The following is a 12,193-nucleotide window of genomic DNA, read 5'->3' as shown; positions in this document are numbered from 1 at the left end:
ACTACGGCCAAACACAAACCTGAGCCACATGAACTGAGCCAAACACAAACCCTGGCTGGGATCTTGAAGGTCATTTAGTTCAACTCCCCATTTACAGAGGGGCAAACAGGTTCAGAGAGGAGGTGACCTGCCCAGGGTTATATATGGAGTTGTAGCAGGGGAGGGGACAGCTTGTCTTCAAATTTAGATTCATTTCGGTTCATCACATCCCAAGTTTTTGTGATGACAGTGTGGGGAAAGAGAATTGAGCCTAACATGACCCCTCCCCAGGGCAGGGTGCGCAGGGTTGTAGTGTCTGTGGTCGCTGGCCTGTTGAAACCCTTCAGTGCCTCTCCGAAGTCCTCAGGATAAAATCCACACTCCCCTTCCTCAACATGCCTCTGGCCCCCAGAGCCATGGGCTGGCCTCTGGCATAGCACTTATCAGAGGTCCGTGCCCATGGCCATCGGCCTGTGGGTCCATCCCTTCAGCAGACCGTGAGTGTCGCTGGCTGTGGGGGTTGAGGGGACCAAGGGGACCGAGCTGTGTCCCCTCTGTTCCCTGGGGCCCAGCCCAGTGCCTGGACCACAGCATGTGCTCATAGAGGGTGTGGAAAGAAGGAGCAAAACAACATACGAACGCGTTTCCTGATACTCCTGAGCCTAACATGCCCCCTCCCCACCCCAAGTATGCTGGGCCTGCCCCACAGCCAGCGAGAAGAAGAGATTCTGGGAAGAGTTGCAACAATTCATCTTTATTTCTTATTTTCCTCTGGAGATGCAGAATTTGGTATATTTCACCCCAGGTATATTTGGGATAGTTGGCTCCTCGCTGGGTCAGGATGGCTGGGTGCCTTCTCCCCTGGCATGGTTCTCTTCTCTGCAGGGCGAGGGGCAGGGAGCTAGTAGAACCTCGCAATGACAGCCGCAATGGCAGACCCAATGGAGCCCAGGATGAACTTGGTCAATCCGGAGAGTCCAGTTGCTCCTGGGAAGAAGCAGAGGGTGGACAGAGTGGGACATGCCTGTCGGGGAAGCTCTGTGGGCAGGACTGTGGGGTCAGAGACTCCAGTGACCCTCAGCAGGGGCTGAGGCTTACAGACCCCACCCAGTTCCCCTCTCTGTTTCCCAGTACCCTCGGGGTCTTTGTTTGGGGAGAGGCTGCTGCAGGCATGAACCCCCATGGTGAACTCCAGAGCTAGAAGCAGCCTCGCTCTTCAGGGAAGGAGGCTGCACCCCAGAGGGGAGGAGACGCCCCAGGTAACCCAGCAAATCTGCTTCGGGCTGAGTCTTCCTGAGTGCACTGTTCCTGGCTTGGGCTCCTTCCCTCCCTCCTCCATCTCCCTCAGAGAAACCCTGAGAGAATGTGTAGAGAGAGACAGAGGAACAGGGAGATTGAGGTTCATAGGGTTGAGATTGGGACTGGGTCCTTGGAGGCTCTTGCCCTCCTCATCGCCCTCCCCAGCAAGCCCCGCCAGGATACTTACCCAGTGACTGCAGAGTAGCCACAAGGCTGCCCGAGGCAACTCCACCCCCATTGGCAATGGCCGCCGCGGACATCATCTTGGCTGCTATGGAGGACGAGGCGATTCCCGCCGCAGTGAAGCCCATGGCACTGAGCACCATGGGCACAGCCGCCATGGCCACAACTGCAGGGAAGAGGAGCTGGGTCGGTGCGTGGGCTCAGAAGGGACCCCCCCAGATACACTGAGTCAGGCTTGGGGACCCCAGGGGATCTGGAGAAAGAGGTGAACTTTGAGCTTGGGAGAGACTATGGGCACGGCCAATAGGCACGAATCAAGGGGAGCACAGCCAGGCGGGGAAAGTAGAGGGAAAAGCTAGTGGGGTCACTGGGCACAGGGCTCTGGGCCAAGCTCTTCTGGGCAGCAGGACCTTCCTTGGGAAAGCCACTTGTCCTCAGAGCCTCAGTGTCTGCCTTGGCCAAATGCTGGACCAGGGGAGTGGTTGGCAAGTTTCTTATCTTTGCTGGGGAGCAAATCTCATTAGGGGAGCAGATGTTGCCCAGGAGATTATGTAAGAGGCACATTCAGAGCGGCTCAAAGAGACAGCTCTAGGGCTCCGTGGTGTTGCCACAGAGCACACTGGAAGCAACTAAACCAAAGGGAGCTGAGCCCTGGCATCTCTTTCATGTCTACTGTGTTCAATCTCTATTGTTTCACCCTATGCAATCCTGACCATAACCCTGAATGGGCATTACCAGCCTTTTCTCTGGAGAGGAAACAGGAGCTCAGAGGAGTTCAAAGACATGCTCAGGGTCACATGGTGAATGTTCTGCCAAGGGGAAATGGCCTCTGCCGGCTGCTGCCACACCCTGCCCACACGCACTCCAGCTCCCAGTCTCCAAGCCCCCTGCTTCCAGCTTCCAGTGCTGTATTTCTAGCTCCTTGGTTCATACTTAGCCCCTCATCCCCACCTCCTCCCCTGACCACCCATGTGAGGGAAACATTGGCATGGACAAGGCCAGCTGCTCCCCAAGTCCACCTCCCTAGGGGCAGGTGGTTACTTGAGCCCCTTCCCCACAGACTCACCTCCTCCAATCACAACTGTAGCAATCCTGGCTGGAAACCAAAAGAACATTCTGTGAGTAGATCCACACTGGCTTCCCCTCCACTTTCTAAGCCGATTGCCCATCTAAAGGGAGGCAGGGGGCTGCCCCAGGTTGGGAGCCACAAGAAGGGATGACTCCTGTCTACCGCTCTTTGCTTCATTTCGGGAAGTGGAAATTCTGGAGGAGGGTGAGGATCACTGGGGAGTTTGACCTCAGTGCTTGTCCTGAATGAATTTACGTGGCCCTGACCTAGTTGATTGGTTGGTTGATCGGGGGAATCAGATGTTATCTTTTCTTTTCTGCCTCCCAAGGCAGGTTTAGCTCAAACAAAAAGCAGAATGAAAATGAACAAAACCTCATAGATGTGGCTAGGAAGGCATGCTACTGTGATGTCCATTCCCAGTAAATACAGGATACTTGGCAATGAAATCTAGGGCTTGGTGGTTTGACCGGGGCAGGGAAAAGTGAACAGGATGGGTGTCATGCTTTCTGAGCAGGGCTGTTAGCTCATCCGAAGCAGGGTCAGTGTTTATTAGTGAGGGAGACCATGACTTTCTCCTATAGTCCAGAAAAAGCTCTTCAGACACTAATAAGTCCTCATGGCAGAGAAAGATGTGCTTCCTTTTGCACTGTGCGCCTGAGTCACGGCAAGCACTATAGAATGCTTGAATGCCACATGAGAGCAATGCTTGAATGGAATGAATTGAAAGCTTCTGACTCTTCAAGGTCCATGCCATTGTTCCCTCCTCCAGGAAGCCTTCCCAGATTCTTCCAGGCAGAACTCATCCTTGCTCCTCCATGACTGGAGCCACTCACAGCACTGGATATACATGATTTGCTCCCCCACACGGTGAGCCCCTGGGGAGCAGGCAGAGGTTATGTTCCCCAGCAGCCAGAGGGGCCAGAACTGCAATTTGGGACCAGGAGTTCTAAAGACAGCCAAATGTGCAGGAGTGAGCTCAGCCAGCTCCCAGGGAGAGGCCTTAGAGTGATGGTGGGAGGAAGTAAAGAGACGCAGGTATGAAGGCCCACCCCTGAGTGACCAGAAAGGCCACCTAGAAGGGTTATGAGCCCAGGGAATCAGGAATGGATAACCTCGTTAGAAGGTTCAGTTTTATTGGCAGGCAAGAGAGGTGATGTCAAGTTGGCTGGCAGCCCAGCAGACCTGCACCCTGACACACAAAAGCCCTCAGGAACTGGCTGCGGTGTGTCTGGAGGCCTGCCTGTTAGGCTCAGCTGATGGGCATTCATACGGCGGAGTAGCCTGGCCATTATTTCGTGCCATTCAGAACCTGCCCTACCCTGAGACCTCCCTCCAACCTTTTCCTACTTCTATTAATATTTCTTTCTTTTTTTTTGAGACAGAATCTTAGCTCTGTCACCCAGCCTGGAGTGCAGTGGCACAATCTCGGCTCACTGCAACCTCTGCCTCCTGGATTCAAGTGATTCTTCTGACTCAGCTTCCCAAGTAGCTGGGATTACAGGCATGCACCACCATGCCTAGCTAATATTTGTATTTTTGGTAGAGACAGGGTTTTACCGTGGTGGCCAGGCTGGTCTCAAACTCCTGACCTCGAGTGATCCGCCCTTCTTGGCCTCCCAAAGTGCCGGGATTGCAGGTGTGAGCCACCGTGCCTGGCCTATTAATACTTTCTGTCATTGTTCATTGTTCTACCTCCTGTTCCAAGCCTGGAAGCAGCACACCCACACCCTTCTGTCCTGCCCAGAGCACTTGGACAACAGTAAATTGTCCCAGTTGGTAAATAAGGGACGATATTATCTTCTTATCTTCCTCTGGGGTTGTTATGAGAATTAAATTGACAAACCTCAAGTGCTAGGGTAAGTGACTAGAACATAAAAGCGCTTGCTTAAGTTGAGCTGTTATTATTTTAATTTTATGAATTGCTTGATCTTAAACTGAGAAGTCATCTGCATTTCTGACAAACAGAAAGGACTGCTGGGCGTGGCCCAGGCCCTTGCTTGCTCATCACACTTCTCTGTACTGAGTTGGGAGCCCAGAGTGGTGTGTGTTGCCGAGGGCCAGTTACCTCCAAGTTGCAAAACAGGGTGCCAGTGAGGGACCCCAGCATGAAGGAGCTAGCCTCCAGTGCCCCCAGCAAGGGTCTGAGGAGAGAGATGTTGGGGCTCAGGGCAGCTGAGGATGACAGGGTCAGCAAAGGGTGAGTGCAGGCTCAAACAGAGGTTAGAGGTTGGGGCAGGGGTCAGAAGTCAGGGTCGGAGTCAGGGGCCCTGTGCCCCCATTCAAGCCTGTGCCATTTGTGCTGGCGGAGTTGGGGGAACCCCTGGATGTCCACCCACGGAGACAGAAAGGTAAAGGGCAGGGGATACACACAGAGGAGCACTTGTCAGCAGGTAGAAGCCAGGATTAGATGCTCATCGAATGACACTGATGGATCTCAAGAATATGGTTCTCAGTGTGGAAAAAAGCAATAGAATGGGATCTACAGCACACCATCCTGCATGTCAGTTAAAATGCCCGCAAACAAAACACAATACCCATTCTGCAAAAATACATATGAAAAACAGACACACATTAAATATATTAGAAAGGTTGACTTTGAGGGAGGGGAATCGAGGGTGAAAAGGAAGAAAATGAGAATAAATAAAACCAGAAAGAGATCTCCCAGAAACTAATGAAAAAAGTGAGCTGAAGAATTTTGTTAAAATCGATACTCTGGATGTGAGATCCCATAGGACACGGGGCCCTATTGACAAGGTAAACTCCTAAAGGAGATGAATTCTGATGGTGAATCTGGGGGAAGGGAGAGCTGAAGAGAGTGGGACTCAGTGGTAGATAGACCCTTTCCGGCTAGGCAGGAGGAGGCCCGGGCCCAGAGGGGAGAGGACCTGTGGAACACCCAGGGCTGGGCATCTGGCCAGAGTCTGCCTGCCCCGGGCCCCCTCCCAGATGGAAAGTTAGGGTGGACGCCTGCTGTGAGAAGACAGGACAGGGCAGCAAGGCTGCGGGTGTCCCCCATTTTCTCTCCCACGGGTCCCGGGACAGGACCCCCGCCCTTCCCAGCCGCCTCCTCGCCCCCAGCACCAGCCCCTCCCAGGAACACTCACCCAGGGGCAAAACTACGGCAGAGCCAGAGGCCACCCTGACCACTTTGGCCACACTGGTCACTGCTGATGAGGTGAGAGCAGAGGCCTCCATGCCTGCTCGGGTTAATTCCGTGGCCTAGAGAGTAAGAGATCCTCAACTTCAGCCAGACCTGCCGAAGGGATGGAGCTCTGAGGACGGGATGGGCACACAACCTGACTTGCTTCCCACTGTCCTGAAAAATGTGACGGGCTCCAGGGGGCTAGGGAGGCTGCTCTGAGCTTGTGGAGCAGCAGGCCTTGAAAGGATCCTGGGGTGAGGGAGGGAGGGATGTTGGGGAGTTGGGGCTACCAAAGGACCTGTGTTAGGTCAGGGCCCTGAGGGACTTTATTTCCCCAGGGGGGCTGCTTTCTTTCTCCTGAAAGTCCCAGCGCCAATGTCTTAGACACTTCCGGGACTCCCTTATCTCTCCACGGAGCAATTGAAAAAGCACCAAAACTAAGAAATCAGAACCAATCGCATTTTTAAGGCATATACAGCAGGCGAGGTGCCTGCTCTTATGTAATCTCCTCACTAACGTGAAAAAGATGGGACCCTCCTCCTCCGCATGTTACAGATGAGGGAGCGCGATCTGGCTCAGTGATTTGCTCCAGGTCAGAAGCTTTCCATAGGGAAGCAACACCCCGCCCAGGCATGGACTTGCAATGGCTTCGACTTGGTTCCTCCTAACACTTATCTCTTCCCCTTGCCCACTTTACCCCAAGCCGCCCTCAAGGCCTGAGGAAAACCTGGGCAAGGACAAAGCTAATTGTCCTTACATTCCAGAGTCCAGGGACAGGTGGGGCTCGAGTCCCTTCCCATCTGAGGCTCCCTGATGAGAACAAAAACACCGGGCAGAGAGTGGATGCTTAAGGCCTCCCCTCCGCTCCCTGAGCCCACAGCCCACCCAAGGTCCGGGGCCACGGGAAGGGTAGCTCCTGCCCACCCTCCCAGTCTTACCCAAAGAAGGAGAGTTCCTGAGAATGTGAAGCTGACCTCACCGTCTTAAGCTTGGATGTGTTCCCAAAGGGTGTGATCCCAGGCCTTTTAAGCAGCTCCACCCCGACTGAAGCACTGCCCCTTGACACAGGCAACAAATGAGATAGGTTTCATTTTCCAGGAAACCGAAACTGCAGACATCTTTCTCCCCTCATGCGCAGTCCAGAAGAAAATTCAGTTATTTACAGAAATAGGATTTGCCCATGGCATCAGTCATTGTCAGTTAATATAAAATGCTTTGTCATTTAATTCAAGGATGGGAGTGTGCTCTACGCAGAATGAAGTCACAAGAAGTAAGATCAAAGTTCTATAATAAAATGATAAATATTACTTTCTAATGAAGAAGGTGATTTTCAGAATAATAGTAGTCCTTGCGATAGGCAGATGTTCCGTTTTTCAAAAAAAGTCTCAACTGAAGGCCCACTGTGCTAGATACTGACTAGGCACTGGGACAGGACTGTAAACAAAACAGACCAAAATATCCATCCTCACAGAGTTTACCAGCAATGGGGGCAAACTAAACATAATAAATAACTAAATGTATAGAATGTTATTTGATGAAGCGCTAAAGCAAAAGGAGGTGAAGCAGTGACCTAGGCAGAATTATGGGGGGGCAGTCATTCCAGGTGGAGGCCACAGCAGTGGCAGAGCCCGTGTGGCAGGAGCAGCAAGGGGGCCAGTGTGGCCTCAGCAGGTGGGCAGGGGAGAGAGGCAGGAGGTGAACTCAGAGTTTAACAGGGATCCAGGCCCTGTGAGGCCACAAAAGCACTGCAAGGACTTGATCTTGTGTCCTGAAGCCATTGCAGGGGATTATCATCTATACCTTTTTGGGGAAAGGGAGATGAAGCTGAGAAATGACACAGTCAGGCTCACCCTGCAGCTGCTTTGAGAACAGGCGGAAGAGAAAGCACCAGGTCCTGGAATGTACATTTAAATCTTCCACATGAGTAGTGTGCGAGTTGTAAGATTCAAAATGGAGTCACTTGGGTAAAACCTCAGCAGACAGAGCCAGCAAGGCTTTAATGGGAGGGCTCTCACGCAAGATGAGGCTCTCCCGTTTGCCTGCTAACAGGAACTATCACAAGAAATGTTTCCAAACTGCAGCTTATCACATGGGCCACACAAGGACAGCTAGAAGCACAGGGAGAGCGAGCCAGTTATGCAAAAACACTTGCCTGGCACAGTGTCTCACAAACCCAATCCAAAACTGCAGGAACCTGACCATAACTCCAAGATTCCCAGTCCTACCTAGCAACTACTGACACTTGGCGGTCAGAACTCGCCAGGTCTTGTAAGATGCTGCCACCACCAATAAACTTTTTTTCTTCCTTTCCTTTCCTTTCCTTTCCTTTCCCTTGCCCTTGCCCTTGCCCTTGCCCTTCCCTGCCCTTCTCTGCCCTTCCCTGCCCTTCCCTGCCCTCCCCTCCCCTCCCCTCCCTTTCCTTTCTTTTTTTTTTTTATGGAGTTTTGCTCTTGTTGCCCAGGCTGGAGGGCAATGGCGCAATCTCGGCTCACTGCAACCTCCACCTCCCGGTGGAGTGATTCAAGTGATTCTCCTGCCTCAGCCTCCCAAGTAGCTGGGATTAAAGGCAACTGCCACCATGCCCGGCTAATTTTTTGTATTTTTAGTAGAGATGGGGTTTCACCATGTTGGCCCGGCTGGTCTCAAACTCCTGATGTCAGGTGATCCTCCTGCCTCAGCCTCCCAAATTGCTGGGATTACAGGTGTGAGCTTTCGGCTGTGGGATCACAGCCATTAAACTTTCTTTCAAAACAACTTGCATAACTTTCATAAAACAAATTGCATTGAACTTTCCTTCAGAACAACTTGCATAACAGCCTCTTTCTCTAAAAATCCCCAGCTTTTTCCTTTGTTCTCCAAAACAAAAAGGCCACCCTGGTCCATATTTATGTTGTGGGATTGCAATCCTACTTCTTTTGTATTATTCCCAAGTAAAACGATTTTACTTAAAGATTTGTCTCCCTCTCTCTCTTTTTTTTTTTTTATGTTGACACAAGTGTGACATCAATATGTTGGTTCAACTAGTTTAAGCCACACTGATGGCGATCTATACTCCTATTCAGGGGTCCAGCAGGTGTCCACTCTGGCTTTCTCTCTGGGAAGGGCCCCCGGGGAGGCAGTATATTCAGAAATCCACACGCCCCTGTGCAGCTACTACATCAGTACCAGAGACTTTGCAAATTAGCACAATGAATGTATGAATGTATGTATGTGACATCATCAGGCTCCATGTCCTAACCAAAGGCTGGGTTGGGGTCACCCTAATGCTGAGGCTCAAATCACTTCTGGATGGAACAATACACGGCCAGCATATGGACACAGTTTTTGTCCAGCAGTTCTACACAATTTCAATAGTAAATAGTAATGCAAATCAAGACCACAATGAGATACCATCTCACGCCTGTTAGAATGGCTACTATAAAGACACGTGCACACGTATGTTTATTGCGGCACTATTCACAATAGCAAAGACTTGGAACCAACCCAAATGTCCATCAATAATAGACTGGATAAAGAAAATGTGGCACATATATACCATGGAATACTATGCAGCCATAAAAAAAGATGAGTTCATGTCCTTTGGAGGGACATGAATGAAGCTGGAAACCATCATTCTCAGCAAAATATCACAAGTACAGAAAATCAAACACCACATGTTCTTACTCATAAGTGGGAGTTGAACAATGAGAACACATGGACACAGGGAGGGGAACATCACACACTTGGCCTGTTGGGGGAAGGGGGCTGGGTGAGGGAGAGCATTAGGAGAAATACCTAATGTAAATGACGAGTTGATGGGTGCAGCAAACCAACGTAGCACATGTATACCTATGTAACAAACCTGCACGTTGTGCACATGTACCCTAGAACTTAAAAGTATAATTAAAAAAAAGAAATTCCTCCAAAGTAGGAAATGTTCCTTTAACAACCAGCGACACAAGTACCTTTAAAAGGGAAAAGACAAAATAAAATGTGGTGGATCATTACCGTAGAATACTAAGCAGCAATTAAAAATAATGAAAAAGACTTATAAAATGTAAAAAAAAGCCAGCATCAGAATAGTATGTATTAGGTTAAACAAAACCATAGCAATAAAAATGCATATAACAGAACTATATACAAATATTTTCTATGGAGATACCTATATATCTCTTCTATCATCTATCCACAGAAATAACTTTAAAAGGGCATGGAGAACTAATTGCCCAAATGCGAGCCACAAAACTATGAAACTCCTAGAAGAAAACATAGGGGAAATTATTCATGACATCAAACTTGGCAATGAAGAGTAAACATTCAGAGTATACCAAAAAATGCTACAACTCAACAACAAAAAATCGAATAACCCAATTTTAAAATGAGCAAAAGTGGGAGTGGTGGCTCACGCCTGTAATCCCACTACTTTGGGAAGCCGAGGCAGGCAGATCACCTGAGGTCAGGAGTTCAAGACCAGCCTGACCGACATGGTGAAACCCTGTCTCTATTAAAACTACAAAAGATTAGCAAGGCGTGGTGGTGTGTGCCTGTAATCCCAGCTACTTGGGAGGCTGAAGCAGGAGAATTGCTTGAACCCGGGAGGCAGAGGTTGAAGTGAACCGAGATTGTGCCATTGCACTCCAGCCTGGGCAAGAAGAGTGAAACACCATCTGAAATAATAATAATAATAATAAATGATATATATAAATAAAATGGGCAAAAGACTTAAATGGACATTTCACCAAAGATGATATATGCTATAGTTTAAATATTTGCCCCCTCCAAATCTCGTGCTAAAATGTAACCTCCAATGTTGGAGATGAGGCCTAGTCGGGGGTGTTTCGGTCATGGGGGTGCTTGGCACTGTCCTCACAGTAATGAGTTAGCTCTCACTCTATTAGTTCCCGCAAGATCTGACTGCAGAAAAGACCCTGGCACCTCCTGCCTTCCTCTTGCTCTTGCACCGTGTGATGTCAGTTCCTCTTGCCTTCCATTGTGAGTACAAGTTTCTTGAGGCCTCACCAGAAGCCGAGCAGATACCAGTGCCATGCTCCCTGCAGAACCATGAGCCAAGTACACCTCTTTTCTTTATAAAGTACTCAGTCTCCAGTCTCAGGTATGCCTTTATAGCAGTGCAAGATGAACTAATATGATATACAAATGGCCAAAAAGCACACGAAAAGATGTTTAAGATCGCCAATCATTAGGGAAATGCAGATCAAAGCCACAATGAGATACTACCTCACAACCATTAGGATGGCTGCTATCAAAAAAACCGAAAATAAAAAGTGTTGGCCCTTATATAATTGGAACCATTGCACACTGTTGGTGGGATCGTAAGATGGAGTAGTTGCTATGGAAAACAGTAGGGAAGTTCCTTAAAAAATTAAAAGAACTTCTATATGATCCAGAAACCCCACCTCTGGGTATATATCCCAAAGAATTGAAAGCAGGGTGCTATGGTCTGAATGCCACGGCCCCGCCAAATTCGTTAAAATCATAACCCCAAAGGTGATGGTATTGGGAGATGGAACTTTTTGGGAGGTGACTAAATCAGGAGAGCAGAGCCCTAATGAATGGGATTAGTGCCTTTATAAAAGAGGCCCCCCAGAGAGCTGCCTTATCCCACTACCATGTGAGGACACAGAAAGCAGTATTTACAAACCAGGAAAGGAACCCTGACCAGACACCAAGGGGGCTGACACCTCTTAATCTTGGACTTCCCAGCTTCTAGAACTGTGGGAAATAAATTTCTGTTTTTTAAGCTACCTAGTCTATGGTATTTTGTTACAGCAGTGCAAACGGCCTAAGACACCGGATCTTAAAGAGATATTTGCATACCCACGTACATAGCAGCACTATGCACAATAGCCGAGAGGTGGAAGCAGCCCAAGTGTCCACTGATGGGTGAATGGATCAACCAAATGTGGTCTATACCTCCGGTGGAATGTCATTCAGCCTTATCGAGGAAGGAGATTCTGTCACATGCTGCATCCTGGATGAGGACATTATACTAAATGAAATAAGCCAGTCACAAAAAGGCAAATACTATATAATTTTGGCCAGGCACGGCGGCTCACACCTGTAATCCCAGCACTCTGGGAGGCCAAGGTGGGTGGATCAGCTGAGCCCAGGAATTTGAGATCAGTTTGGGCAACACGGAGAAAAAAGCCCATCTCTACACACATATACACACACACATGACAAATACTATATAATTCTACCATTAAGTGGTACCTAGAGTAGTCAAATTCACAAAGAAAGTAGAATGGTGGTTACCGGGGCAGGGGGAGGGGCGGAGCGGAGCTGTTTAATGGGAACAGAGTTTCAGTTTTGCAAGATGAAAAAATTCTGGAGATGTTTCACAACAACGTGAATATACACCTAACATTGCTGAACTGCACTTAAAAAATGGTCAAGATGGTCAATTTTATGAATTTTTATCACACTATAAAAGGGGGGTCCTTGGAAAGGAACGCATGAAATTGCAGCAGTGCTTTACTTCTGAGGGTGGGAGTAGGGGCTGTAATGAGGGGCAAGGATGC

The 12,193-nt window shown here is 49.3% G+C and overlaps 1 protein-coding gene across 8 annotated transcripts, besides 1 other annotated feature; it reads right to left on the bottom strand.

Moving 5' to 3' along the window:
• Positions 1 to 717: 717 nt before the first annotated feature.
• Positions 718 to 11,514, bottom strand: IFI27 (interferon alpha inducible protein 27). Of its 8 annotated transcripts, none has more exons than NM_001288952.2 (6): positions 6,611 to 6,672; positions 6,430 to 6,482; positions 5,635 to 5,783; positions 2,528 to 2,557; positions 1,466 to 1,627; positions 718 to 966 (listed from the first exon to the last, which is right to left on the bottom strand). In NM_001288952.2, the coding sequence occupies exons 3-6, from the start codon at positions 5,723 to 5,725 to the stop codon at positions 881 to 883; spliced, it is 369 nt and encodes a 122-aa protein (NP_001275881.1). In that variant the 5' UTR covers positions 5,726 to 5,783; positions 6,430 to 6,482; positions 6,611 to 6,672; the 3' UTR covers positions 718 to 880. The 8 variants fall into 8 exon arrangements, with proteins under 8 accessions (NP_001275881.1, XP_047287305.1, XP_047287302.1 ...); XM_047431349.1 differs by having other exon boundaries at positions 5,635 to 5,749; XM_047431346.1 differs by lacking the exons at positions 5,635 to 5,783; positions 6,430 to 6,482 and adding an exon at positions 11,498 to 11,514 and having other exon boundaries at positions 6,611 to 6,730.
• Positions 6,136 to 7,335: an enhancer, noted in NCBI's record as "MED14-independent group 3 enhancer chr14:94576419-94577618 (GRCh37/hg19 assembly coordinates)". NCBI's record gives its function as "activates an origin of replication core promoter dependent on BRD2, BRD4, P300/CBP and CDK7 cofactors, and independent of MED14, by STARR-seq in HCT116 cells {active_cell/tissue: HCT116}" and the evidence as "EXISTENCE:reporter gene assay evidence [ECO:0000049][PMID:35650434]".
• Positions 11,515 to 12,193: the final 679 nt, after the last annotated feature.

The sequence above is a fragment of the Homo sapiens genome, chromosome 14 (genome assembly GCF_000001405.40).
Source record: "Homo sapiens chromosome 14, GRCh38.p14 Primary Assembly".
Lineage (NCBI taxonomy): Eukaryota > Metazoa > Chordata > Mammalia > Primates > Hominidae > Homo > Homo sapiens.
This window is presented reverse-complemented; position numbering and strand designations above follow the sequence as displayed.